This window comes from Homo sapiens, chromosome 6 (genome assembly GCF_000001405.40).
Source record: "Homo sapiens chromosome 6, GRCh38.p14 Primary Assembly".
Lineage (NCBI taxonomy): Eukaryota > Metazoa > Chordata > Mammalia > Primates > Hominidae > Homo > Homo sapiens.
The window spans coordinates 70,231,481-70,257,252 of NC_000006.12; the positions used below are offsets into that span (position 1 = coordinate 70,231,481).

The 25,772-nt window shown below is 38.7% G+C and overlaps 1 protein-coding gene across 10 annotated transcripts in view; it reads right to left on the minus strand.

The window, feature by feature from the left end:
- The window catches only part of COL9A1 (collagen type IX alpha 1 chain), an 88,024-nt gene that overhangs the window by 16,420 nt on the left and 45,832 nt on the right, over positions 1–25,772 (minus strand). For 4 of the 10 annotated variants that reach the window (XM_011535429.4, XM_017010246.3, NM_001377289.1 and 1 more), the window contains 17 exons: positions 25,288–25,341; positions 23,857–23,910; positions 23,670–23,723; positions 23,483–23,536; positions 23,260–23,289; positions 22,996–23,049; positions 21,905–21,949; positions 20,782–20,835; positions 20,640–20,693; positions 11,182–11,235; positions 10,484–10,555; positions 9,939–9,974; positions 9,209–9,253; positions 7,774–7,806; positions 3,314–3,460; positions 3,059–3,113; positions 1,103–1,291 (listed from right to left, as the gene is read on the minus strand). In XM_011535429.4, coding sequence (XP_011533731.1) covers positions 1,103–1,291; positions 3,059–3,113; positions 3,314–3,460; positions 7,774–7,806; positions 9,209–9,253; positions 9,939–9,974; positions 10,484–10,555; positions 11,182–11,235; positions 20,640–20,693; positions 20,782–20,835; positions 21,905–21,949; positions 22,996–23,049; positions 23,260–23,289; positions 23,483–23,536; positions 23,670–23,723; positions 23,857–23,910; positions 25,288–25,341 — 1,084 coding nt within the window. The remainder of the gene's footprint in view (positions 1–1,102; positions 1,292–3,058; positions 3,114–3,313; positions 3,461–7,773; positions 7,807–9,208; positions 9,254–9,938; positions 9,975–10,483; positions 10,556–11,181; positions 11,236–20,639; positions 20,694–20,781; positions 20,836–21,904; positions 21,950–22,995; positions 23,050–23,259; positions 23,290–23,482; positions 23,537–23,669; positions 23,724–23,856; positions 23,911–25,287; positions 25,342–25,772) is intronic. The other 6 variants (NR_165185.1, NM_078485.4, NM_001851.6 and 3 more) reach the window with 4 other exon arrangements.

A 25,772-nucleotide genomic window follows, 5' to 3' on the forward strand; every position in this document is an offset into this window, starting at 1 on the left:
CTCCCAAAGCTTTGAATTCATGCCAGCCTTATAAGAGGTCTCAGTTAGACCCCATTTTTTTAACATGAAGCTCTGAACACGCCAAAAAAAAATGTAATTAAATAAATTGTTCCAGCTGAAGGTCTAGTTAGCCAACTGCATCAGCAGTTCATTTATAGATCCAAAAAGGCAGCTTGCTTGCCATCTGACCATTCATACCACAGTATTTATCCCTAATTGGAGCACCGCAGTACTTAAAAAAAAAAAAAACAACCCTCTCTTGTTTCTGATGCCACGTCTTTCTGAAGTTCTCCAGAAAGCTGTCAGTCACTCATCATGACATAGAAACTACTCACTTTATTTAGTCCTCTCTGTAAATTATCCAGGGCACATACACCCCAAGCTGATATACTTACTCCCCTCAACTAGCAAACTCCAAATGAGACAGCCAGTTCTTCCACCAGTCCTGCTGAGTACCTAACACACTCATAGCCCCATTTTTCTGCAAAATCCTGGATGCAAGGGCTTAACTTGCTTTAAATAAAAGTGGAAGAAACAAGCTATCTTACATACTAAAGAAGGAATTAGATTGTACTTCAGAGCTGAAAAAAAAATCCATCAAAACTAAATATCCAATGTCATGTTTTAAAAGAGGGAGGCAGCTCTAATGCATATTTTTCTTACATCCTGTTAACAAATTTTATTAGTTTAAATAACAAATACAAATATCCTAAGGATGGTTGCCATGTTAGAGGAACTCAACAATGACTTTAGGGTCTCAAAAAATAAATAAATAAATAAAAAATAGCTGAATGATCGTTTACCAGATCCCATTATCTTTGTTTTGAACCATGATTGAGGTAGAGTATAATAGAAAAAGATCAGTCCTAAAAGACACGGGACTTTAATTCTAGTATTTGGTCTACTGTTGTGGTAGAGCAGGGTCAAGGGAATATTATATAACAGTTTTTGAATCTTCACCGTCACTATTGAAAAGAGAATAATACATCTTATCTCACTGGATATTCAGAAATTGGTAAAACATAAATTCCTCGAGCTTGATACAGATTATACATCTGAAAAAGGTTGTGTTCTTTGGTTCCACATGGGCAAGATGACTTACCTTTAGGTCCCCTCAAACCAAGAGCACCAGGGGGCCCCTTAATGCCCGGAAGGCCACGAATTCCCATCTGGCCTGGGAAACCATTCTCTCCAGGAGGGCCGGGGGGACCAGGAGGGCCAGGCCTTCCAGGAAGCCCAGTGGCACCTGAGTCTGGACGCTTAAGACTGGCAGCCATCTCAGCAAAATGTTCTAAAAGAGAATAAACAAAACAACCCAGAAGTGTCAGAAACATAAAAGTTATTCTAATGAAAAGAGAGGTATTCCAAATGCCTTTTTTTCTAAATGTGTCACCAGATCTTCAAAATTGGTAGTAAGAAATGAATAAAGTTGGATAATTTCTCTGTGGGCTTTCTGCCAGAAAGCTTCGCTGGTGCTGTTTGATGCAGCTCTCCCTGGATATATTTGGTCCTGTTGTTCTGAGACAGAGTCAGGGCACGGGGAGGGAGGTAGCAGGGGGTGGGATTCACAAAAATCTTAAACTACAGGCTTTGGGGTGAACGATGTTCTGGAAGGATGTCACCTGAATCCCTGCTGGGTATCTGAAAACCCAGGATGGGAAGAAAAATGAGTTTCTTAACATATGTGGAAGCAGATGTCCAGACAGTTTTTAAAAGCCAAGAACATTGTCCAGAATTAATATTCAGACACCATTTGAGACCTCGCCTCACATTCTTAGTTTGAAGATATTATATAAACTGAAATATCCCCAGGAGTCACAGCTTCTTATAAACCCTCCTTCTCAGAAGTTTTTTCCACGCTTGAAATAGACAACAAACATTAAAAATAACTTGTTTCTTGGGAATGGTCAGAGTTAGTCTTAAAAATTAATAACTGTGTGGGCTTTTTCAGGAACCATTAAATAGATTCAGAATCACCCACTAAAGGCATGGCCTACAACAAAATCTCCCCATGAAAACATTCTAAGGGAAATATTCTCATGTAATATTTTTTAAACTTAGAGGGTAAAGGAGAATATGAAATGGAAACAAATTTCTACCCAACATTTTTAAATTGTTTAAATGTGAGTATTTTAAATTTGCTTATATAAGTAAGAGTTTGCATGGAATAATAATTTTTTAGATATGTTTAAAACTAAAATAGACTTTCAGGACAAAATGTCTGCAATGAAGAGGCCTATATTGCTTTTCAAATATAGAAGTGAATGTTTCATTCCTATTTGGTTCTGGAAAACTTCTCAAGTCTCCTAGACAAACTAGACTGTCTAGTGAACATACAAAAGAGTATCTCTTCATGACAAAGTTAGCTACACCAGAATACTGTAACTAGCTATGGGCTTCAGTGTTACAGAACTCCTCAGCTATAGGGTGCTTTTGCACATCTTCATTTTCTGTGTGTTTTTATAACTAGACCAATTCTGAAACAAATAACAATTGCCATAGCTACAGGTAAATTTTGATAAGGGTTAACAAGTATGAAAATGTGTCATAATTTTGGTAAATGCTGGTTATTGATTGTTTTTACATATGTGTACATGAATGGCGATAATGTCCTTATGCTTCCTATGGGCATGGAGTCTGTCATTTACTTCTCACAAAATGTAGAGAAAGCCTAGGTCAGTGCTAGGTACACACTAAGTGGTAGGGTCTTAAGGAGGGGAGAGACAACTAAGAATTTGTGTTCCAAAGGAAAAAAGTGTGTGTGTGTGTGTGTGTGTGCACTTTGTTATAAATTAGCCCCCATGGCAAAAAAACAAAACAAAACAAAAAAAAGGCAGGATAACCAGAAAAGTAATATTTTACATTGAGGCTACGGGCTGTATACTATTGTGGATGCCAATAGTTGGAAAAACAGAATTGGCATTAATATTACCCTAAATGTCCTATCTTTAAGGCACACAAAAAGTCACTCTTGTTTACCCTTGTGTATCTACAAGAATAAAATCTTAAGAAACAAGAGTTGATGGTGGAAAAAGTCAAACCATTGTGATTTATTTACCTTGTATGACTCTCATGCAAACCTGCTTAATGTGCTGATCTGTCGGTGCTCTACCCTGGGACAGAAAAGAAAAAAAGGCAGTTTATGCATGAAACCATAAAGAGAACATTGTTAAGTTGTAAACTGACAGACTCTGCAAGGAGCCAGGTGGCTGGATTTACAAGAGAACTTGTTGAGAAGCTGATGCCTAGAACAGCCCTGCTGCTGTGGGATGGAGTCTCCAAAGGGAAACCACAGAAGCTGCCCACCACTCACCGGAGGGCCCTGGACACCAGGCAGGCCGGTGGCACCCTGTTCTCCCTGCACACCCCGGGGTCCAGGTGGTCCTCTTGGTCCTTCCACTCCAGGAAGCCCCCGACTTCCCTCAGGCCCTCTCAAGCCAGGTTCCCCAGGATTACCTGCCTGGAACACAATTGCACACTATCAAACCAGGGCTAAGCATAAAGAATGTGCCTGCTTCATACTCATATAAACACTTATATGAAATTTGCGGTTTCCTGCACTCTGCATCCTAACAGGTGTTCTTTCAGAGGTTACAAAACCTTCACTGCAAGGTGAAGACACATAATGCTACACAACTTACCCATCTTTTAGAAATCTAGTTCAAGTTAACTTTCAATATATCTTTCTTTTGGCTGGGTGTGGTGGCTTACACCTATAATCCCAGCGCTTGTAGGAGGCCCATGTGGGTGGATCATGAGGTCAAGAGTTTGAGACCAGGCTGGCCAATATGGTGAAACCCTGTCTCTACTAAAAATACAAAAATTAGCCAGGCATGGTGGTGCATGCCTGTTGTCCCACCTACTTGGGAAGCTGAGGCAGGAGAATCGCTTGAACCCAGGAGGTGGAGGTTGCAGTAAGCGGAGATCGTGCCACTGTACTCCAGCCTGGGCAACATAGTAAGACTCCGTCTCAAAAATTATAATAATAATAATAATAATCTTTCTTTCGGGGATAGTTATTCTTGCAAAACGTTTATTGGAATACTACATTTTTTAAAAACTACATTCTTCATACTTTAAGCCACTCTCTAAGAGGAACTTAGTTTTCAATAAGCTTGTTAACATTTTCTGGCTACATAAAAGCCCCTGCATTCCTACAAAATATGTTACTTTGCATATCACAAATGCAGCAAGCATAAAATAAAGATATTTCCAAGAACATAAGTTATTTAGCCCTTACAACTTTTTTTTTTAGAGAATGTGAAGATGCCAGGTATATCCAGGAATTACTAAACTAAATCAATGCACTTAAAATACCACATTTAAAATGCTGCATTTAAAATACTTGACCAGGCCAGGTGCGGTGGCTCACGCCTGTAATCCCAGCACTTTGGGAGGCCCAGGTGGGCGGATCACGAGGTCAGGAGATCGAGACCATCCTGGCTAACACGGTGAAACCCCTTCTCTACTAAAAATACCAAAAATTAGCCGGCGTAGTGGTGGATGCCTGTAGTCCCAGCTACTCAGGAGGCTGAGGCAGGAGAAAGCCATGAACCCAGGAGGCAGAGTTTGCAGCCAGCCGAGATCGCACCACTGCACTCCAGCCTGGGTGACAGAGCGAGACTCCATCTCAAAAAAAAAAAAAAAAAAAAAAAAAAAAACTTGACCAAAGAAAGTTACAACTTACTTAAGTATGAAGGAAGTTAAAAAATCTAAATATTGAAGAAGTTAAAAGTAAACCATGTGTTTCCTTAGCATAAAAGCAAATACAAGTTAGATTTTTTTTTAGCTGAAAGCAGACCACTAAAAGCATTTAAAAGAATCATCTAAGATAAATGTTTTAAAAAGAGACCAAATTAATTCACTTTTTGTTAAACTAAAAATTTGTTAAATTCCTCTGGTAAAATTTGTGGCAGAATAGCTCCAATGTACTGCTGCTGTTCAGAATAAGAATGAGAAGATAAAAGAACACGAGGCAGCAAGGGAATGCTAGTGTTCAAGATATGAATGTTTATAAAGCAATTTAATCCTGCTTCTTTTTCATATGCATCATTTATCTAGAAAAAGCTGGCTCTTTCAAACAAATACTTTAAACTGAAGAAGGCGATGAAGCAATGCTTTTACTAGATACATCCAAATAAAGCTCAGCAAATGTGCTTTTCCAATTTCGCTTTATGCAAAAGAAATTGATATTCATCTAAGTCAACTTGCCAAAATTGCTTCTATGAAGAAATTATGGTTTAAAGACTTCCTGAAAGACTGTCAGCAGGACAAGGAAAAGGTATCCTACATAGAAGGCTGCAACATTGTCAGGTGCCTAGGGTGCAAAACTGTAACAACTTCTTTTTTTTTTTTTTTGAGATGGAGTTTTGCTCTTGTTGCCCAGGCTGGAGTGCAATGGCGTGATCTCGGCTCACCACAACCTCCACCTCCCAGGTTCAAGCGATTCTCCTGCCTCAGCCTCCAGAGTAGCTAGGATTACAGGCGTGCGCCATGACACCTGGCTAACTTTTTGTATTTTTAGTAAAGATGAGGTTTCTCCATGTTGGTCAGGCTGGTCTCAAACTCCTGACCTTGGATGATCTGCCCACCTCGGCCTCCCAAAGTGCTGGGATTACAGGCATGAGCCACCTTGCCCTGCCAACAACTTCTAAAAGAACCCAGAAGAGAAGACAAAATGAACTCAGAAATATACTGAAGAACTGACAGAAAACAAAGGAGACCACGACAGAGTGTATAATCCTGCTGATAATGACTGAAATACTGCTACAGTAAGAGCTGGGAACTTCCTAATGAAGAGATTAAGGGCCAATATGGCCAGGACCCTGGGTCTCTGGGAAAAAATTCCTCAACTGAGGAGTGGTATACTGAAACAGAAATCAGGTTACAGACATCGCCTACTTCACAACTTTGTCTATGCTGAAATCAATGAAGAAAGTGTAAGTCTTTGTGTTAGTAACAATTTCCCCTGATTGTGGGACAGTAGACTTCAATTTCACTCATATTACCTGGGCAGTGTCAGGTAAGACACTTGTGGGGAAGGAGATGAATCAAGAGCTAATTCCTAATACTATATGCAAATTTGAATGCAATTAACTTATTCTTGTCACTGCATGGTTCATTAACTTTTCTTTTGTTACAGCTTGAATTCTTTCTATTGAACATTACTATTTCTAGATAGTGAAGTAGGATTTCTATTACCAAACTCAATCAAGGTTTACTCTAAATTTTTCTCAATCCTCAACCATTTCTGTTAAAAATTCTTAGGCATAAAAATGTTACTTGAAACTTGAGACATAGTGTTTAGAGGCAGGTAAGTTAATACGATGTAATAATATTCATCTCTGCGGTTTGCAAAGAGCCCAAGGCTAGGCATTGTAACCAAGTCTGACTGGGTCCTCCTGGAGAAAGTGAAGCTGAGGATAGATCGAAATGCTTAAGTAGGAAGTAGCTATTCCAAGGAAAGAGGAAGAGGAGACCAGAACAAGGTGTTAAACAGCATGTAAAAGAAACTGCAAATGGATGAAGTTCTAGGTATGTAGGAGATGAGGTTCGTGGAGCAAAGAACACTTCATCAAAGGCTTTGTTTACCTCGCTAAGAATCTGATTTTATTCTTAAAGAGTTTTAAACAGAGGAGGGATACACAGTGGGTTTTATTTTTTTAAAAAATCTAGATGACATTGGCTGCCATGAGGATAATATGCTGGACAGGGACAGAGAAGGGTTGAGGAGATTCCGGAAACAGGAAGGACTTGGAAACTTATGGAAGCTGGCAGTAGTGGCATTTGAGATTGAGGTCTGAGCTTCATCTTTTCTCCTCAACCTTTCTTAAATTCCTAATTGTTTTAGATGTGAATTCCTTTCCAATTAGCAAGTCATCTCAGGTTTCCTACTAAGTGATTCTATAATTCTGAATACATCTAATCTCTAAGGACACCAGTTTAGTTTCTATAAAAATGACAAAAATGAACAAGATCGTTTTCTACTTCTAATAATTTGCTATTATATTTTCTTATGCATTATTCCTCTATCTTACTTCCCCAACTAGAACACATCAGAGATTAAGACAATTACTGAAATATTTTTCAATGGTATAACTGCCAATGAAATTTAGTTATACTGTTGACAACAAAAAACACAAGTCAGTTCTTTAAAAATGACCCATTTGGAGAGGACATTAGAGTATTACCATGTAACACTCATTGAGTCATTTACAATATGAAAGAAAAAAAACACTTCCTTTCCAGTGGTTAGTTCAAAAGGTAAATCCATTTACACAGTGGTGAGGTATTTTTCTATTGGATTAATCCATTGCCTAAAGTACAAATTTAGACATTTATTTCCATGAAAGTAAGTCCTTTAAGAGTTGAGTGTTGGCCGGGTGTGGTGGCTCACACCTGTAAACCCAGCACTTTGGGAGGCTGAGGTGGGCAGATCACCTGAGGTAAGGAATTCGAGACCAGTCTGACCAACATGGTGAAACCCCATCTCTACTAAAAATACAAAAATTAGCCGGGCATGGTGGTGCATGCCTGTAATCCCAGCTACTTGGGAGGCTAAGGCAGGAGAATTGCTTGAACCCAGGAGGCAGAGGTTGCAGTGAGCCAAGATTGCACCACTGCATTCACGCCTGGGCGACAGAGTGAGACTCCATCTCAAAAAAAAAAAGAATTGAATGTTACATAATGATTTCATAAAGCAGAATATTATATATTCTACAGCTTTATTAATGTTTTTAATTTTTTTATACCATTACTATTCACCATACTTACAGATCCCTTTGGGCCAGGTAATCCTATATCTCCCTAAATCAATAAAAGAAATTTATGTTAGAACAATGTATTCACATTTGATAATTTCCTGAAAACACTTTAAAAGTTATTGTGCTACTAAAATACGGAAAACCATGAACAGATTAACTCCGGCACTGCAAAAAAATATTAGACTCCAATTTTGGATTCTAATCTCAGTTCTACTTAACTCTGTGACCCTCTGTAAGCTATGTAGCCTCCCAGCCTTTGGCTAATTTATCTGTTAAATAAAAGGGTTGAATCAGAGCTTTCCAGGGTTTCATCCAGATCTCAAATGCTAGGTGTCAAGAATTAAAAATGTGGAAGGCAAAAGATATTAAAATAGCATTATCTTATAAAACACAAGAGACATTTAGACCTGATGACTTCATTTTTGTAATTCAAACAATATTTAAAAGTCATCCCCAAAAGTCTACTAAACCAAATATGCCTGTTTTTATGCTTTAAAAAATAAACATTGAAAATTTCCTACCACTAATGCTAGTTATAAACTCAGCTCATGTTGGCATATCAGCTTACCTCCACTACAAAACAATGATTTAAAACATCACGTTACCCTATAAAATGAACGATTTTAACAGAAAATGAAACTGGAATAATCCTCTTATGAATTTACTTAATAGTTGGGAAGCTTTGACTAATTTAGATGTTATATTTATATTAGCTCTAAATCCTGAAAATATGAATAAAACATTTCTAGGATTTTTTTCCTGCCCTACAAGCTCTCTAAAACTGTTTTCTGAAAAATCTATTACCCTACCCCAAAGGACCAAAACATAAGTTTCCACATTAGGTCACATTAGTTTGTGTCAAAACCATAATGATGAGCCTGCAAACCAAGCAGCTCCAGCAGTGGAGAGAACTTGTTCTCATTTGTATTCCTTTCCTGGAGATTAGGCAACAGCCTCCTCTGGAGATGGAGGTCACTTTTTCGGAGGGTTTTAGACTAAAGAGATTACCCTTGGTCAGATTTGTGAGTCACAGCTTTCTAACTATAATAAAACTTGAATATTGTTTTCATGATAGTGCACTATTATTCATAGACTTTCTATAGTCATGTAAGAATCACCTTGAATGTCTAGACATAAAGCCACAGAGGATTCACCATCTGTAAGAGTACAATTTTATTCTCCAAAAGTTTAAAGCCAGATCTATCAATATGGCAATGTTTCCTCTCTGCTTTACTTGATCTTGGCTGCAATCTTGGGAGACTTTTGTTAGCTGATAGGAGAAACATCATAACCTTTAAAGAAGGCAGTGAGGATAACAGTGTCCAGAAAATAAGAATATATATATATATATACCAATTTTGAACTGTGTTAGAAGTATATATATATACTTCTAACAGTTCAAAATTGGTAAAGCTTCATCATTAACCAGAAAAAAAAAATCTTACAAGTTCCCCCCTTTCTCCTGCTTCACCTTCTTCACCAGAGGCACCCTAAAAATTAAGATAAAAGGTTACATTTTAAAATTCTTAGTCCCATTGCCCAATTTTAACCAGTAAACATTGATAAGCATTCATAAGTGCCCACAGTGTTCCCAGAATCATGCAGAAATACAAAATGCTCTCAGCGGCTTTCCAATCTAGCTGTCAGTGGTTAGTCCCAATCAGAAAATAGCGGAGAGGAAAGCCAGAAGGTGAGGCTGAGTTTCAGCTAGAATGAAGGATAAATGACCATATTCAACAATTTTATAATTGGCCCTTGAAATAGGGAATCTACAGTAGAAAAAGGAACCCAGGGAAAGGACTGAGTCTAATTCATATAAACAGTTTATTTGCTGAGGTCTTGATCAAGAAAAACCTAAGACATTCTAATGTGGCTGTGGAAGGCTCCATTGGATATGAATAAACCAATTCCGTGAACCAGAGACAGAGCCACGCTCTTCAAAGGAAAGACAGTGTGCAGTCCTGGAGCAGAGCCATCTTTAGCTCCAGCTTGTTAAAATAGTAAACAATGCTGCGGACCAAACTCAACACCAGGTTTCACTCACTATGAACACATTGAGAAAAACTGTTAGCCTTCATGGTTTTATTAACCCCCATAAACCAGCCATTCCCCCTTGCTTGTGAAATGGTGCATATCAAACATTGCATTTTATACCAATTAAATAATAAGACTGACCTGTTCACCCTTTGGACCCGGTTCACCGACTACACCCTGTAATAAATAAAATATAATACTTTTTCAGTATTTTCAACTGTTTATATAATTTCAAGTGAACCTTATTGGGTGGGTGGATAAGCACAAGTACGGATAATGTGATGGGAGAGGACGTTCCCACTCCTCACCACCCAACAAGAATCAGGACCAAAACATAAGTTTCCACATTAGGTCACAATTTTCCAAGAGGCTCTGGAACTTGGGGCATTCTCTGATCACATCCTCATAAAATTTGACTAGTAGAAATGTAAATTGAGGGCTAAGTAGAAAGTGTGATTACAACGGACATTTTTACTTTTCTCAGCTTTTTTTCCTTCTGTTAAATTATATTAATAGACTTTTTGCTTCTTAATCTCAACTCTGAGTAATTTAAAATATCTTTCTTGATAGCTGTTTATGATAAATTCTAGAAAATTCTCCACAGGGCCAAAAGCAAGCTTTGTTTCTCAACATGGTAGAAATCACCCTTCCAAATAAAGAACCTTCTGGAGTGCTGGAGCTCTTACCCTGTCACCTTTCATTCCAGGAAGTCCAGGGGGCCCAGGCAAGCCAGGGAGGCCAGGGCTACCCAGAGAACCCTGGAAAGCAAAAACAAAGTCCCCGGAGTTACTGTCACTGCAACACTGAAAGCACGGAAGGCAGAAACAACCTTGGGTGTGTTGACTTGTGTCTAAAATAAACGTGCTGTGGTTGGTTGAACTCTGCTTCTTGGGTTTGCCTCTCTTTCATATTCTCAGGAGAAGAGGGCGGGGCCAATGTTCTCCCAGCCTTCACTCCACCCTAAGGTCCTCAGTTCCCCTTGCACTCCTTGGCAACAGTAGGCTTTTTCAGTCAAGCCCCCGCCACCCCCGCACTGCCTGCAATGGCGCTGCTGCTCCTCTAGCTATGTAAACAAGCACTGCACAGGAAGTAAAAGGCACCATTCACTCTGTTTTCTGCCATTCCAAGAACAACCAGAGGCCAAATGCAGCACTTCACATTTCACCAGGTTTAAAAATGGATGCTACAAACCACGCAGATTAAAATACCCTCTGAGGGTATCCTACCCATAATTTGAAATTTCCCCTTTACATTGTTCTCATATTCACATAACAAGAGAAATCAAGTACAGGTAATTCAATTGTAAATTGTTTTCTCCTCTTGCTTATTTTTAAAAATGCATTGTGTTTCGTAGAAGGCAAATAAACGAAACTTTTCTACTTACCAGTTTACCTGGTAGGCCTGGGGATCCCACTGGTCCTAATTCTCCTCTACTGCCCTGTAAAAACACAAACATTGTCAATTGGATATTTTGCCAAAATTCAAATGCTTAGTTACTATGTAAATAAAATAACATCCTACCTAGGTTTTTTTCCTTCAGCTAAAGGCATAGGCCATCCTACATAGTGCCTACAGCATCCTGTGTTCATCTTGCATTGAATGATTCGAATGCTGTTTACTGTGATTACAGACGTTTAGAAATGATAGCTATGCATGTATATGAAATGGCAATTAGTCACTTTCAACATCTAAATCACATCCTAACTTTTATTATGGTTATTTGTGTCCATGTTTTAAGCCCTCACTTAGATTATGTGTTCTTAAGGTATTGTTAAATATTAATTTGGAATTCTGCACAGTGCCTAGAACACAGAATAAATTCTCAGGTCTACAGAACATTTCAAAGCAACATCTGGCAAATGATCTTAAACCTCAACAGAGTGAAAAAAGAAACACATAATAGATATGTTTGCCTTTAAATTACTATTGCAACTTCAAAAAGACACAGATGGTAAAAATTTCTGAAGTTTCTGAAGTAAAAATTTTTTTCTTCTACTCATTTTTGTTCTAAACATATCTTAAAAGATTAAACAGACTTCAGAAAGTAGAACTTATAACGAAGATACACCAAAAATAATTTTATTTTGTGAACCTACTTCAATTTTTTATTTGAAACTCTAAGCTTTCAAATTTTTATTTGAAATGCTAAGCTTTTCTAATCTATTGAGAAAAAGAAACACATGAACTTTTCAACTTTTTTCCCTGAGAACTTCATACAATTTTATGCAATCTGACAAAAGTTCATTTTATTTCCTAATTTTTTTTTTTGAGACGGAGTCTTTCTCTGTTGCCCAGGCTGGAGTGCAGTGGTGCGATCTCAGCTCACTGCAACCTCCATCTCCCAGGTTCAAGTGATTCTCCTGCCTCAGCCTCCTGAGTAGCTGGGAGTACAGGTGCATGCCACCACGCCTGGCTGATTTTTGTATTTTTAGTAGAGACCGGGTTTCGCCATATTGGCCAGGCTGGTCTTGAATTCCTGACCTCAGGTGATCCGCCCGCCTTGGCCTCCCAACGTGCTGGGATTACAGGTGTGAGCCACTGCGCCCGGCTAGCTCATTTTATTTCTAATGCATGTTCAACTAAGCTGAACACTGACATTATTGGATAAATAATCACATTTCCTGGAAGGTGCATATAAAAATGAAAGGAGTCCTTTAAGTTAATTTTTCTGTAAAATGACATGACAGCTCCATATTAATGTTTAATATTTATAAATGCTTCTGATAAGATTATTCTGACTCGTGCTATTTATTCCTATTTAAGTTTAACAAAGTGTAAAGATCCATAAACCTTCTGAATTTTGAATTTCTCTAAAGGATTAAGAACTGTTTGCCAGTTTACAACAATCTAGCAATTAATATTAGCAATAATTTCATAGTAGTCATTTCATATGACTTATAGGTGATTTAAACTAAATGCTTTTAAACATTTTTCAACAACTTTATATAAACAACCTGTGTCTGGTATATGACTTTGGGATGATGCATTGGTCCTTAACCTCATGAGCAGTTTGGAAGCCAGAGGCAGTGCCCCATGAGGGTGGATACTGGGAGAATGTGAGTCTAGATGAAAACCAGCCCCTGTGATAGATTCCTCTATCCATCTATAAATATAAAAATTGGGTTCTACCCCATCTTTACAACTTCAAAGTTCAAGACAGATTTTCCTCATCGTGTCTGCTCTGTTGGCATTTTGAAATAATTTCTCAAGTGCATCATGATTGACATCCTAAATATCACTGGGCTCACGTGACTTTAATTCACAGAACAATTAATAGTAATTGGTGGGGAAAAGTTAATATCAGAAGGGGAAATCTCAGTTTTTGGCACATTCTCAAGTATTCATTTCTAAATAAATGAACCATTATGCTATCTTATCCAAAATAAAGATGATTATTATACATTTTTTTCTCTTCCATAAACCAAAGGGCTAAATTAAAATAAGAGATTGTATAATCTTTGATTTATTTGGGGGAGGATTAATTATCTTCCCAGTGAATAACAAAGATTTTCTCTGCTGGACTCTTATTTTCTCTGTCTTTTCTAAGTTCTTATTACAGTTTATAAGTGCTTTCCAACCAGTGGCAGACCCTTGGTAATATATATGAATGAACAGCTCAGAGACCCACATACACAGCCTGCTCTGCTGAACTTGTGTACCCATAAGAGTCCACCATATGTAGCACGGAGAGAAGGATCAGTAAAATTGTGAGCATTTACTCCCCTGTTACTGCACAAATGGACAGCATGTGGTTCCTCATTTTTATTTCACTTCCATCCTATAAATCCTTGGCCATTCTAAATGCAGGTAATTTTACAGAAATCACCTCACTGTGCAAAACAGTAATGTTTATTTTCCCAAGAGTGACCAAACAGTTACAAACAAGGTGTTGGGGCGAGTTTCTGATGCCCATTCATGTGATTTCTTTGTCTTCTAAGAACATGCATACTCTTGCTCTAAGTTCTGGAATTTCATCTACTAAGCTAAGATGAACATAAATAATCAAGATATAAACAGTTATCTCTGAAAACATAGACTAAACACATTCCTCAGGGAGTAATTAAGCATGTGGGAGTTATTTATATCCTACTGCTGAAGGTCATCGCCAAGGTCTGATTGTAAAAATTCAAAAAATTGCAACCTCAGGCGTAAACGGGTTACCCATGGCACCGGTAACCACAAGTGTGCTAAATAAATGCTAAAACTCTTAGTCTTCAACAGCCTTGGTGATAACCATATTCTCAGATATGGGCAAGAGAGGGTGGTAGGAAAAGGCTGTTCTTCCCAGTTGCTAATATTTATAAATCCCATGACAACAAGAGTTCCAATTTATAATAAAGGAATAAGAAGAAACTGGAATAAAGGCAAAAATCCTACCATTAAAAATGATGAATTGGCCGCGCATGGTGGTTCACACCTGTAATCCCAGCACTTTGGGAGGCCGAGGTGGGTGGATCACTTGAGATCAGGAGTTCGAGACCAGCCCGACCAACATGGTGAAACCCCGTCTCTACTAAACATACAAAAATTAGCTTGGCGTGGTGGCAGGTGCCTGTACTCCCAGCTACTCAGGAGGCTGAGGCAGGAGCATCACTTGAACCCGGGAGGTGGAGGTTGCAGTGACCCAAGATCGCGCCACTGCACCCCAGCCTAGGCAAAAAAGTTAGACTCCATCCCAAAAACCAAAAATAATGATGAACCATAACCAAAGGCTGTACATTTCTCTTGGATGCTCTGTGCTGCCACATACGTCCCCAACAAATTGAGACACATCTGCCAACTCATCTCTTTTTAAGAAGCCATTCAGGGCTAGGCGCAGGGGCTCATGCCTTATAATCCCAGCACTTTAAGAGGCTGATGCGGACGGATCACCTGAGGTCAAGAGTTTGGGACCAGCCTGGCCAACATGGTCAAACCCCTGTCTCTACAAAAATTAGCTAGGCATCATGGCGGGCGCCTGTAATCCCAACTACTCGGGAGGCTGAGGGGGGAGAATTTCTTGAAACTGGGAGATGGAGGTTGCAGTGACCCGAGATTGCATCACTGCATTCCAGCCTGGGCAACAGAGTGTGACTTCATCTCAAAGAAACAAACAAACAAAAAAAAAAGAAGACAAAGAAGAAGCAGCCGCCAATCAGGGCTTTGAAAAAGATGCAGACCTTCTATCACTGATTCCCAGTGATAGCTATGCATCAGAATCCCCTGAGTTCTTTAGAAATATATTGCACTAGATGTCCTCCCCCCAACCCCATCTCCCCATTCCTTATCTTTATTTAGCCCCTTGCCCTCTGATTCTAATTCTGCAGGTCTGGGGTAAGATCCAGGAATCTGTATGCATTTATGTTGTATTTGTTTGTCTTTACCAGCTTTCTCAGACTTTTGTTAAATGCCCACCACCAAAGTTCCATAAATTTTAAATAATTTGCTAGATACGTCTTGTAACATCAGCATTTAGCCAGCAAACTTCAACTGAAAATCATCCTGTGGAGCTATGATTTGAGCTACTGAGGCATATGCGAGGGTGGAAATAAAGACAAGAACACTGAGCCCAGTGGCCTGGTCTGAAGCTGATTTTGCCATGCATCTGGTAACTTCGGGCAAGCAGCTTAACCTCTCCGTGCCTGTTTCCTCATCTATAAAGTGGGAATAAAAATAGTACTTATCTCTTAGGGCTTTTTTGAGGATTGAATAAGTTAAAAGACATAAATCACTTAGAACTATGCTTGTCTCATAGTAAGCATAGTAGAAGTGTTAGTTATATTGATCTGAGGTAATTACTAAAGAAATCGGCCAAAACATTTTTAACCAAATGTTTAATTAAATGTTGTTTGCCTGTCAAATCCCCCAAGTCTGTTTAAAAGCACAAGTTGTGCTTGGAAAAAAATAAGTCTTTAGTTTTCATGTTTCCAGTTTCTGTCAACATCACTGATCATCAAGCAGGCAACTTCTTTATAAACAAGTACTGGGTGTTATTTTGTAAAAATTATTTCCATAAATACATACAGCTAAATAATTCAAGTTGGAGGTTTTCCTTTTAAAATGGAACTGTTAGACTTTTAAAAGATCACAAAAAATAACAGATTTAACTTAATTATACTTATGCTGCCAAAATTATTTTCCCAATAAATGGATTTTATTCCATCATGCTCTAGCTTGTAATGGCTGTTGTCTTTGTCCAACTACCCAAAATGCTAACTAACTGAAAAACGAACACTATCCTCAGTACCTTTCCAATTCAGAGGTTGGAAATTATAAATCACTATACTTAGTCTGTACTATATATTAAGTGCCTCTCTCTGGCAAAAAGAATGCTGATTAACCTAGGAGATCAATTATGATTTCTATAGATTGCTGCTTTTATAAACCCATTTTCATGTTAACATTGAAAGGTCATATTAGTCCTACTACAATGATAACATTTAGATTTGTCACAAAGATATTTTTAAAATCTATTCAATTTTACATTATATAGTTTGCATATTTCTCTTGTGTATGTTTACATATGCCCTCATACAGAGGCAGAAAAAAAAAATCTGTCCAAACTCTAACCATCACACACATCAGCTTCACAAATTATTGACAGAGGAAACATGCCAGTGCCTAGATGGAGTGGGAGGGTGGCTTAGATCTTTCACAATACAACATTTGTGGACCTCTGTCATTGAGGCTGTTGGTATTGGAGGGGTGGTAAAGGACTACGAGAGAAAGTAGACAGGCTTCTGTACACAAGGAACGTATCATCTTCAGAAAACTGAGGTACATCAGCATGAAACTCATCCCAGTCAGTGCCACGAGAGCAGAATGAACACAACCCACTCAGCAAAAGCCCTGGCAAGTTCTCAGAAGCCAGGAAGACAGAAATGGACCGAGAGCTACCACATGGTAGGACCAAATGAAAAGCCCAGGTCATGTGCCTGTGCAAAACCAGGAGCCACCCAGACCAGGTGAAAACCAAGGGGAGGGCCATAGAGAAATCCAGAAGCATAGCCTACATCGTAAAGGCAGGCGCCCATATGAAACCTCTGGAGGCACCAAAATGAACAGACAATATTTTTGCAGTAGTATTGGCAAACATTAAAGGAAATAGCACTTAATTTCAAATACATGCTTCTAGGACACATTAGAAATGTGTGTCCATGTCTTCATCTCCAACCCACATGCCTCAGTAGCTCATTTCTTCTTCTCAGCTTGTTTTAGATTTGCAGGAAAAACTGATCAAACGTGTGAGGCATTGTTAAAAATGTATGAAGTTATCTACAAAACTGAATTTAATGATGTAAAGTGAAAGAACAAATGTGTCTTTCAGTAAGTGGATTTGGTGTTAAAACTCTGCTCCAGAACTATAACATTTATAACCTATCATGACATTTTTCAGAAAATTTTATAGCAGGTGAGAAGTCAGTTATTACCAACAAAAGCAGCATGGCAGGATTTATTACGCCTCCGATTCAATTCGTTTCAAGAAATATTGATTGAGTGCTACCTTATGGCAAGCCCTGAGGAAAGCGAGGTGGGAAACACAGCGGTGAAAACGACATGACTGGCACCTTCTGCAGTTACCACGGCATGGGGTACAAAGGACACAAGAGTTCAGAATAAGGAAAGATCACTTCTATCTGGGGGACAGGGCATAATTGAAATGTTTTCATGATGCAATTAACATTCCAATTACATCTGAGATGGCTTATGGAATGTTGAGCCAGAGAAATGAAGGAAAAAGCCATTTAAATGCAGGGTCTGGCCTACAGGAAAGAGGTACGGAGAGTATTTGAGAATTAGCATGGAGTCCAGCCTGACTTGAACACAAGATCTGAGTAAAGCCGAAATGAGAAGTAAAACAGGGAGGTTAATGGACAGTTTAAGATTTTAGACTTTCTCTTACTGTCCGTGGAAATCCACTGAAGATTTTTAAATGGGGAGAAGTGAGTATGGATGCTGTACTTTGGAAATACCAATACAGTGGTGTGTGCAGACTCAGGGAACTATCATTCCCCAGGGACTTTGGAATTGTGTTTGGCATTTTTGTTTGTCCCAGTGACTGTGGAGACACTACTGATGTTCGTGCAGGACAGAGGTCATGGATGTGAGACACCCTGCCATGTGCAAGAGTTCTGGAAAACAAAGAACTAGCCCAGCCCAAGTTGCAGCAATATCCTTTTGGGAGACACTGGTAGAGAAAGGAAAGACTGCAGCCGGTGAGACAATTGCAGTAATCCAAGCAGTAGGTGATGACCTGAGCCAGGGTGATAGTAGTGGGAATGGAAATGAAGAGTCAAATATAAGAGATCTTGAAAAGAGGACAGAACCAACAGGTCCTATTTGTGATAGGAAATGTGATGGAGGAAAATGCTGAGGTTTTGAGCCTCAGGGACAGGAGCAATGGCAAGAATTTAGACTCTTACAGAAATTCAAAAATCAAAAATCTAAAACTCAGATCCAAAACCCTGCATCAGCATAGCCTCCTATGATTTGCCTCTCCTCACATAAGAGAATCAACCCCCTACCCCATCCTCTCCTGAGGTGCTGCCTCTGGTTCTTCATTGCTTTATGCAGCCCACGGCACTTAACTGGTGACTGGCCAAGCAGCTCTCCCTACTCCATGTCATGTTTTGTATTCATGCATGGTTCTGTCCCACAACAAGTGCTCAGTCAATGTTCCTTTAACTATATAGAGCTTTCTGCTCTTTAAAGTGACTAATACAGCCGGGTGAGGTGGCTCACACCTGTAATCCCAGCACTTTGGGAGGCCAAAAAGGGTGAATCTCCTGAGCTCAGGAGATTGAAACCAGCCTGGGCAACATGGCAAAACCCTGTCTCTATAAAAAATACAACAATTAGCTGGGCATGGTGGTGTGCACCTGTAGTTCCAGCTATTCTGGAGGCTAAGGTGGGAGGATCACTTGAACCCAGGAGGTGGAGATTGCAGTGAGCCAAGATCCTACCACTGCACTCCAGCCTGGGCAACAGAGTGAGACTCTGTTTAAAATAAAATAAAATAAGATGAATAAGAGATGTAATAGTAAACACTCGCAAAGCTCTAATGGCCACACACTGCTCAATCTTCCTGGGCTAGTCATATAGCATCTTCATTGTTTTAGAAATGTGATCTGGCTATAATGTCATTGCTTCGACAGTTAACTTGTGGAAAGTATTTTAATTAGAAATTCACAAGCTTCAAGCAAAAGAAAAGAATAAAATAAGCACAGAGCAAGTGAGTGAGGGGCATTATGAGCTGGTTGTTTTGGCTGCAGAAACCTCAGGAAACCACCTGGTGGAAGTCGGCTGACAAATGTCTGTGAGAAGTGGAGAAATTCCATTCTCATGGCACAAGACACCTGGAATACATTGCTTTTCTCAAGTATAAAAATCTTCATTCAACAAGCCCAAGAAATGCTTCAAAAAAAGTAATAATGATATTTGGAAATGTTTCTGTGTTCTCACTTGGAGTTCTTTTGGCTATTCCGCAGCCTTTGAAAATAAGAACTGAAACTGAAGGCCAGAGAGAATGTTTTAAAGTCAAATTTAAGTGTATAATATTTAATTTCCTAATCAATTTCTCTCTAGGGTTAAACTGTGTATAGTGAGAAAATGGTCATTGCTATGGCTGCTATAAAATAGACAAGTTTACAAACTCACACTAAGAAAAGTCTGGTGGTTTCTCCAAAGCAGAGCTACCCTATCACCCAGCAATTCCACTCCTAGGTAGGCACTCAAGAAAAATTAAAACACATGTCCACACAAAAACCTGTATACGAATGTTCATAGCAGCACTTTTCATAACGGCCAAAAAATGGAAACAATTCAAATGTCCATCACCCAATGCATGGATCAATAAAATGTGATATAGCCACATAATTAATCCCCACAATTAAATATATTCAAGAATAAAAAGAAATGAAGTACTGATACATGCTACAGCATAGATAAACCTTGAAACATTATGCTAAGTGACAGAAGCCAATCATTAGGAAAAAAAATAAAATACAGTCGGGCATGGTAGCTCATGTCTGTAATCCCAACATTTTGGGAAGCTGAGGCAGAAGGATCTCTTGAAGCCGGGAGTTCAAGACCAGCCTGGTCAACATAGCAAGACCCCATCTCTACAAAAAAAAATTAAAAGTTAGCCAGGTGTGGTGATGCACCCCTTCAGTCCCAGCCACTCGGGAGGCTTAGGCAGGAGGACTGCATGAGCCCAGGAGTTCAAGGTTGCTGTGAGCTACGATTGCGCCACTGCACCCCAACCTGGGTGATTGAGAGACACCATATCTCTTAAAAAATTAACTATTTATTTTTAAAAAACAAAAAGCTCACATATTGTATGATTCCATTTTTATGAAACTTCCAGAATTGGCAAATCTATAGAGACATAAAGTGGATTAGTGGTTGTCTAAAACTGAAGGAATTAAGAGGAAATGATGGATGACTGCAGGTGGGAGGTGGGTATAAGATTCTTTTTTTAGGTGATGGAAATATTCTAAACTTGATTGGGGTGATGGTTGCACAATTCCATCAATATGCTAAAAATCAATAAAGATAGGTGAATTATATAGTATGTGAATTGTATCTCAACGTTGGGTCTTTTTAAATCACACTAAAATATTTCCTTAAACATGGGGTGAGGGCAGAAAGGGTCACCATGGTTTTTGAAGCACTTTATTTTTGTTTCCATTTTCTGAAAAGGCATGCTGTGCATCTAAATAGCATTTCATCTCCTTGTGTGTCTTGGACTAGCATGGGCTCAAACATCAGACAGCATTCATGGATAGATGGATGAATGAATGGAAGAACATCCAGCAAAGTCCTGAGAAGGTGCTTTAGGAAAGAACAGCAAGGAATACTCACAGGAAGCCCCTGGGGTCCTCGGGGTCCCACCTCTCCTGGAGGCCCCTGTTGGCCCTGTTATCAGGAAGGAAGGTAGAAAAAAAGTTAACACCTACTGATTACAACAGGTTAGAACTTCAGGAGAGGTAAAATGGTGTCTTACCGGTTTGCCTGAATTTCCCATCTGACCAGGCTTCCCTGGAGCACCTGTGCTACCCTAAGGGTAAAATGCAACATCCAAAATAACTCATGCTGAAGTAAGCATAATCATCAATCTGCCTTACCCAGACTGGGATCTCTTACATTTGAATAGCATTAATTCCCTGCTTTCACACTGAGAATCTGGGAATGTGCAGAATCTCTTTCTTGTTAGATACATCGAAATCCTTTAGATTCAAGATATTGTCTGTGAGTCTGGGAAATATATTAAAGGTCAAATGTCAAACAATGAGGGGTTTTAGCCTTCAGTTAAGGGGATCCTCTTCAATTAGAGGATTTTTCTTTCTTCACAATATTAATAATATATGTCTTTCCTTTACCATTTCCACCTCCAATATAATTATTTGAGTCTTTCTACCTCACATTAAACTATTGAAACTATTAAGAATCCAACCAACATGGGGAAATAGGATATGCTGCTGAGAAAGCCCCGTCAGCAAGCTCTAGGGAAAGCACATGTCTGGAGATGCCCTCTCCACCATCAATCTCATGTGCAGCTCAAGACGCTGCAGACCACTGTGACTGGGGAGCTGCAGCCTGGTACTCTAATAGCCACCAATCTCTATGTTATTCACCTTTTATCTCTTTTCTTCTCAAGCAAAGCTATATTTTATCCCTTAACATTTTTTCCACCTATTGTTTTTAACTGCTTACATTTTTGTTTTATGTAGAATATAAGCACTGGTCGATCAGTATGTGAAAAAAAAAATGCCTAATATCTTTTTAGTTTAGCTGAATCATCCTAATAATAGTCTCTGACATAAGTTCTGTGGCTTAATAATATCTTCCTTATTTTAGTAGTAAGGAACAATAAAATTTTCTGTTTTATACTGGCAAAGGATGACATTTTCATTAAGGAAATCTAATTAGCAGCATTTTGTCAAAGTATGCTTTCTGTAGCTAGGAAAAAGATTAGTATTTGAAGCCTTAACACATTTACCTTTTTATTTCTCCCTAGGGCCAAATATAAAATAAAACACATGCTGAAAATATTAAAAATTACAAATACGTTAGTAAATAATAAAGAAATTAAGAAAGATATTAACTTAAATTTTAAAATATTTTACCTTTTCACCAGCAACACCCTTTGCACCAGGAATTCCAGGTACACCCTAAAAGAATACATACACAATCCTAGTTTAATCACCTCCTCTGAGAATCCATGAGATGCCAAGCCCACTGCACACTGCAGGGAGGCTGAGGGAATCATGATAACCTCAAAGCTTTAATGTAAGGAAGATGCTTCCTAGTTCCCAAATTCTGCACAGTCATTTATAGAATTACCCACAGTTTAGAGGGCATGACTTTACTATATCTGGCTTGTTAAAGCTAAGTACCCTTAAAGCAAATCTTGTCTTTAAACTAAAGTTACTTTTCAAGGACAAACTTCCCAAATTAGAATCCAGTACCACTTTCAGGTCAAGAGGAGCTCTACTAGGCAGGACAGAGGCTACAGGGATGTGACATGGTTTCATGTACAGAGTAATAAAATGAAGACCTCTCAGAAATGCTGAGCTTTATAGGAGAAAAAGGAAATGGTAGGAGGATGCTGGATCTGACTCAGGTTTGATATTATTGGGAGTGCTAATATTATCTGATTATTTAAAAGATTGGGGGCCAGGCTTTGATATTACCAAGTATTCTTTATTAATTAGAAAGATTTGCCTGCAAAAGAGCCAAGAATACACGTGGTACAATCCACACGAACTTCCAGACACATTAATGCAGGGAAACACCAATTTGAATGATTAAAAATAGTACATAATCTAAGGGGTCACCTGAGTATACTCTCAGCACTCTTGTTGCTTAATCCTACTAACAAGAGCTTTAGAACCGGTTTAAAGTGGAATGAAATATATCACACTGGCCTACAGCTTAGGGTTAGTTAAAAAATATGTAAAAAAAGACTGAGTAAACTAAAGAGAGAAAAGGAATCCAAAGCATAAAATTAAAGCCTATTATTTACAGTTATTACACAAATAGCTATTCAGAGAAAAAGTATAAAATATAAAATACAAATGTAAATTGTAAAAATGTAAAAGTAAAACATCATATCTTCCCCAGAACTTATCAGATTAGGTAGCATGTCTCTCCCCAAAATGTATATCTTTAAAACATGTATATAAACCAATTAACATGTAAAGAATCAAATACTTACTGGTAACCCCTGCAATCCTGCATCACCAGGAGGCCCAGGTTTTCCTGGTTCACCCTGCAAAAAAAGCTTTTATCACATGATTGAACCTGTATGAGCTGCTGTATTTCTTTTAAGAAACGGAGGAGCACAGACGTTTTAAGTAAAAGGATTGTCCCAACAGCTGACTTTACATGCACTTTTATAAAGTGACTTAATTTAGGGTGGGGGAGTAGGGTGGGAAATAGGACATAATTCAACCAAAATGCACAGTCTCTCTCAACTTACTTTCATCAACAGGGCAATTTTACTGAGTTCCTGAAACCAAGCAAATAATTATACTATTCTAGTAAGTATTTCATATTTGACACTTGATTCAAAAATTAAAGGAAGGGAAAAAGCCAAAGCTAGCTAAATAAATCTTTTGGTGATTTAGTAATGGAAATGCCACACTCAGTTGGCCAGGGCAGAGACAGCCCCACTCACTCTTGGAGTAAATTACACAGCCTACCTTTGTTCCAGGCATTCCAGGGATCCCATCACGGCCATCCACACCTGGCAAACCCTAAACACACACAAAGAAACATACTGTCTCTTACACACAGTCACATTCTTTTTCCCTTCATTATTTTCTAAAGTTTCATTGCAAGTCAATGATCACTGAAAAATGTGCTTGATGACTACAGCTCAGGACATACCGTGTCTCCTTTGGGCCCAGGGAGACCAGGAATTCCTCTAGCACCTTCAGCCCCCTGCAGGGAGGAAGAGAAAGAATAGACAAGACATGTTCAGTTAACATAATACTTAGACTTGTCAAAGAGATCAGCATAATCAGCAGATGACACTGAAAAGCAGGAGGCTTGGAGTGACTGAATTTAAACTCACTCTATCTCCTTTGGGACCTGCTTCTCCTGGAGGTCCTCGCTGTCCTTGATCACCCTGTATGAAAATAAAATTTTGTTAATACAAGAAAAAGTTACTTATTAATCAACTTTTAAAAATTAGAAAGTATCATCCACGTCACCAAACTATTAGTCTTCCACCACAATGGCTTTGCTCTATCAAGGAAGCCTAGATGAAGAAGTCTTTTTATAAAAACGGAATTGTCTTAAAAATGGATATTGCCATAGAGATAACTGACACTTGATGGTCTTTTGTTTTCCCCTTAAATGCACTATGCCTCTGTGTTCTTGTGTGTAACATATAATGGATCCATGCAGTGGATTTCGACATCAGTAACTGCATGTACATATCAGCTAACTTCATTGACTGTTATAGAGGTTTGAGGTTTGGATTAGTTGCCAATCTTTCCCTCATATTATTTAATCCCCCAGTCAATATTAGTAATTTCTGTCGAAGTGATCTAGCTAATGTTGATATACGTGATATACGCTACAGGTGGTAATAGATAAGAGGCTGTGTCTTCCTAAAATATAGCTTTTGTTGAGTTGCTTAACTCTAAAACCTCAAATGGCTCCCTATTGCTACTGGATCTGTTCAAATGACTCAGGTTGGCATTAAACATTCTCCATTATGTATCTCTACCTTATCCTTCCAATCTCATCTTTTCAACCAAACTTTCCACTCCAGGCAGTGACAGCCCCTATGACAGCACACATAACCCCATCACCACCAACAGTGCCACCCCTGTACTTTGCTGTCTTTCCTGCCCGTAGGCTTTCAAACCAACCTCCCCCTCAGGTCCTCTTACATGGATTACATCTATCCTGTGCTCTAGCATTTGATCTTGTATAGTTTATCATTGAGTTACTTTCTGTCTTTCCCATTGGAACACAGGACTTTGACAGTTGGAAATTCTATCTTTCTTATATCTTTTCTACTTTTTATGTGGCATATTCAATTATCAATGGATGGCTTTTTTGTCTATTTCCCTCCCAAAAACAGGCTTGAGGAAACCTAAAATAATGACACATGGACATATGGCAATCAAAATGTGGAATAATGGAGTCAGAAACCATAGAAAACAAAAAATATCAAATGGGCAAGAAAGTAGAAACAAGATAGTTACTGAGACTCAAGGCGTCCTAATAACCAAAGAAAAGGAAAACACGCAAACATAAATACTTAATAATTTGGCTTAATCTATGAAGAAAAAAATCATGTCAAGTCAGAAGAACATTTCTATGTACCCGAGAAAGATACCTGTCTTAATTAAATTTAAATTTAAACATATATATATAAATTGTCCACTTTTCCACTTTAATTATTCACACATAAACAATACTGCACACACATGCATACATAGCAAAAAAAAAAAAATCTATCATTGGGTTTTGTGGAAGGAAAATCACTTACAGGTGCACCAGGAAGACCCTGAGGCCCAGGTTCACCATCTAAGCCCCGAGCACCCTGCAAAAAAACAAGACAATGGAAAAAAACTGAGATCAGTCATGTATGTTAAAGGAAGCATCCATCTTTCTAAAGAAATTTAATAGCCAGATGAAAAGGAGGTTTTGTGCCTGTAATACACACAGTGATCCCTGAGGAGTAATTACTCAGGCACCTCAGGTAAACTTGTTTACATCTACTCAGCATACCAATTGTACTTAAACACAATCTTTGATGCCACTCTGTAATTTTTTTTTTTTTTTTTTTTTTTTTTTTGTAGACAGGGTTTCGCTCTTGTTGCCCAGGCTGGAGTGCAGTGGCGCCATCTTGGCTCACTGCAACCTCCGCCCCCTGGGTTCAAGCAATTCTCCTGCTTCAGCCTCCTGAGTAGCTGGGACTACAGGCGCACGCCGTCATGCCCAGCTAATTTTTGTATTTTTAGTAGAGATGGG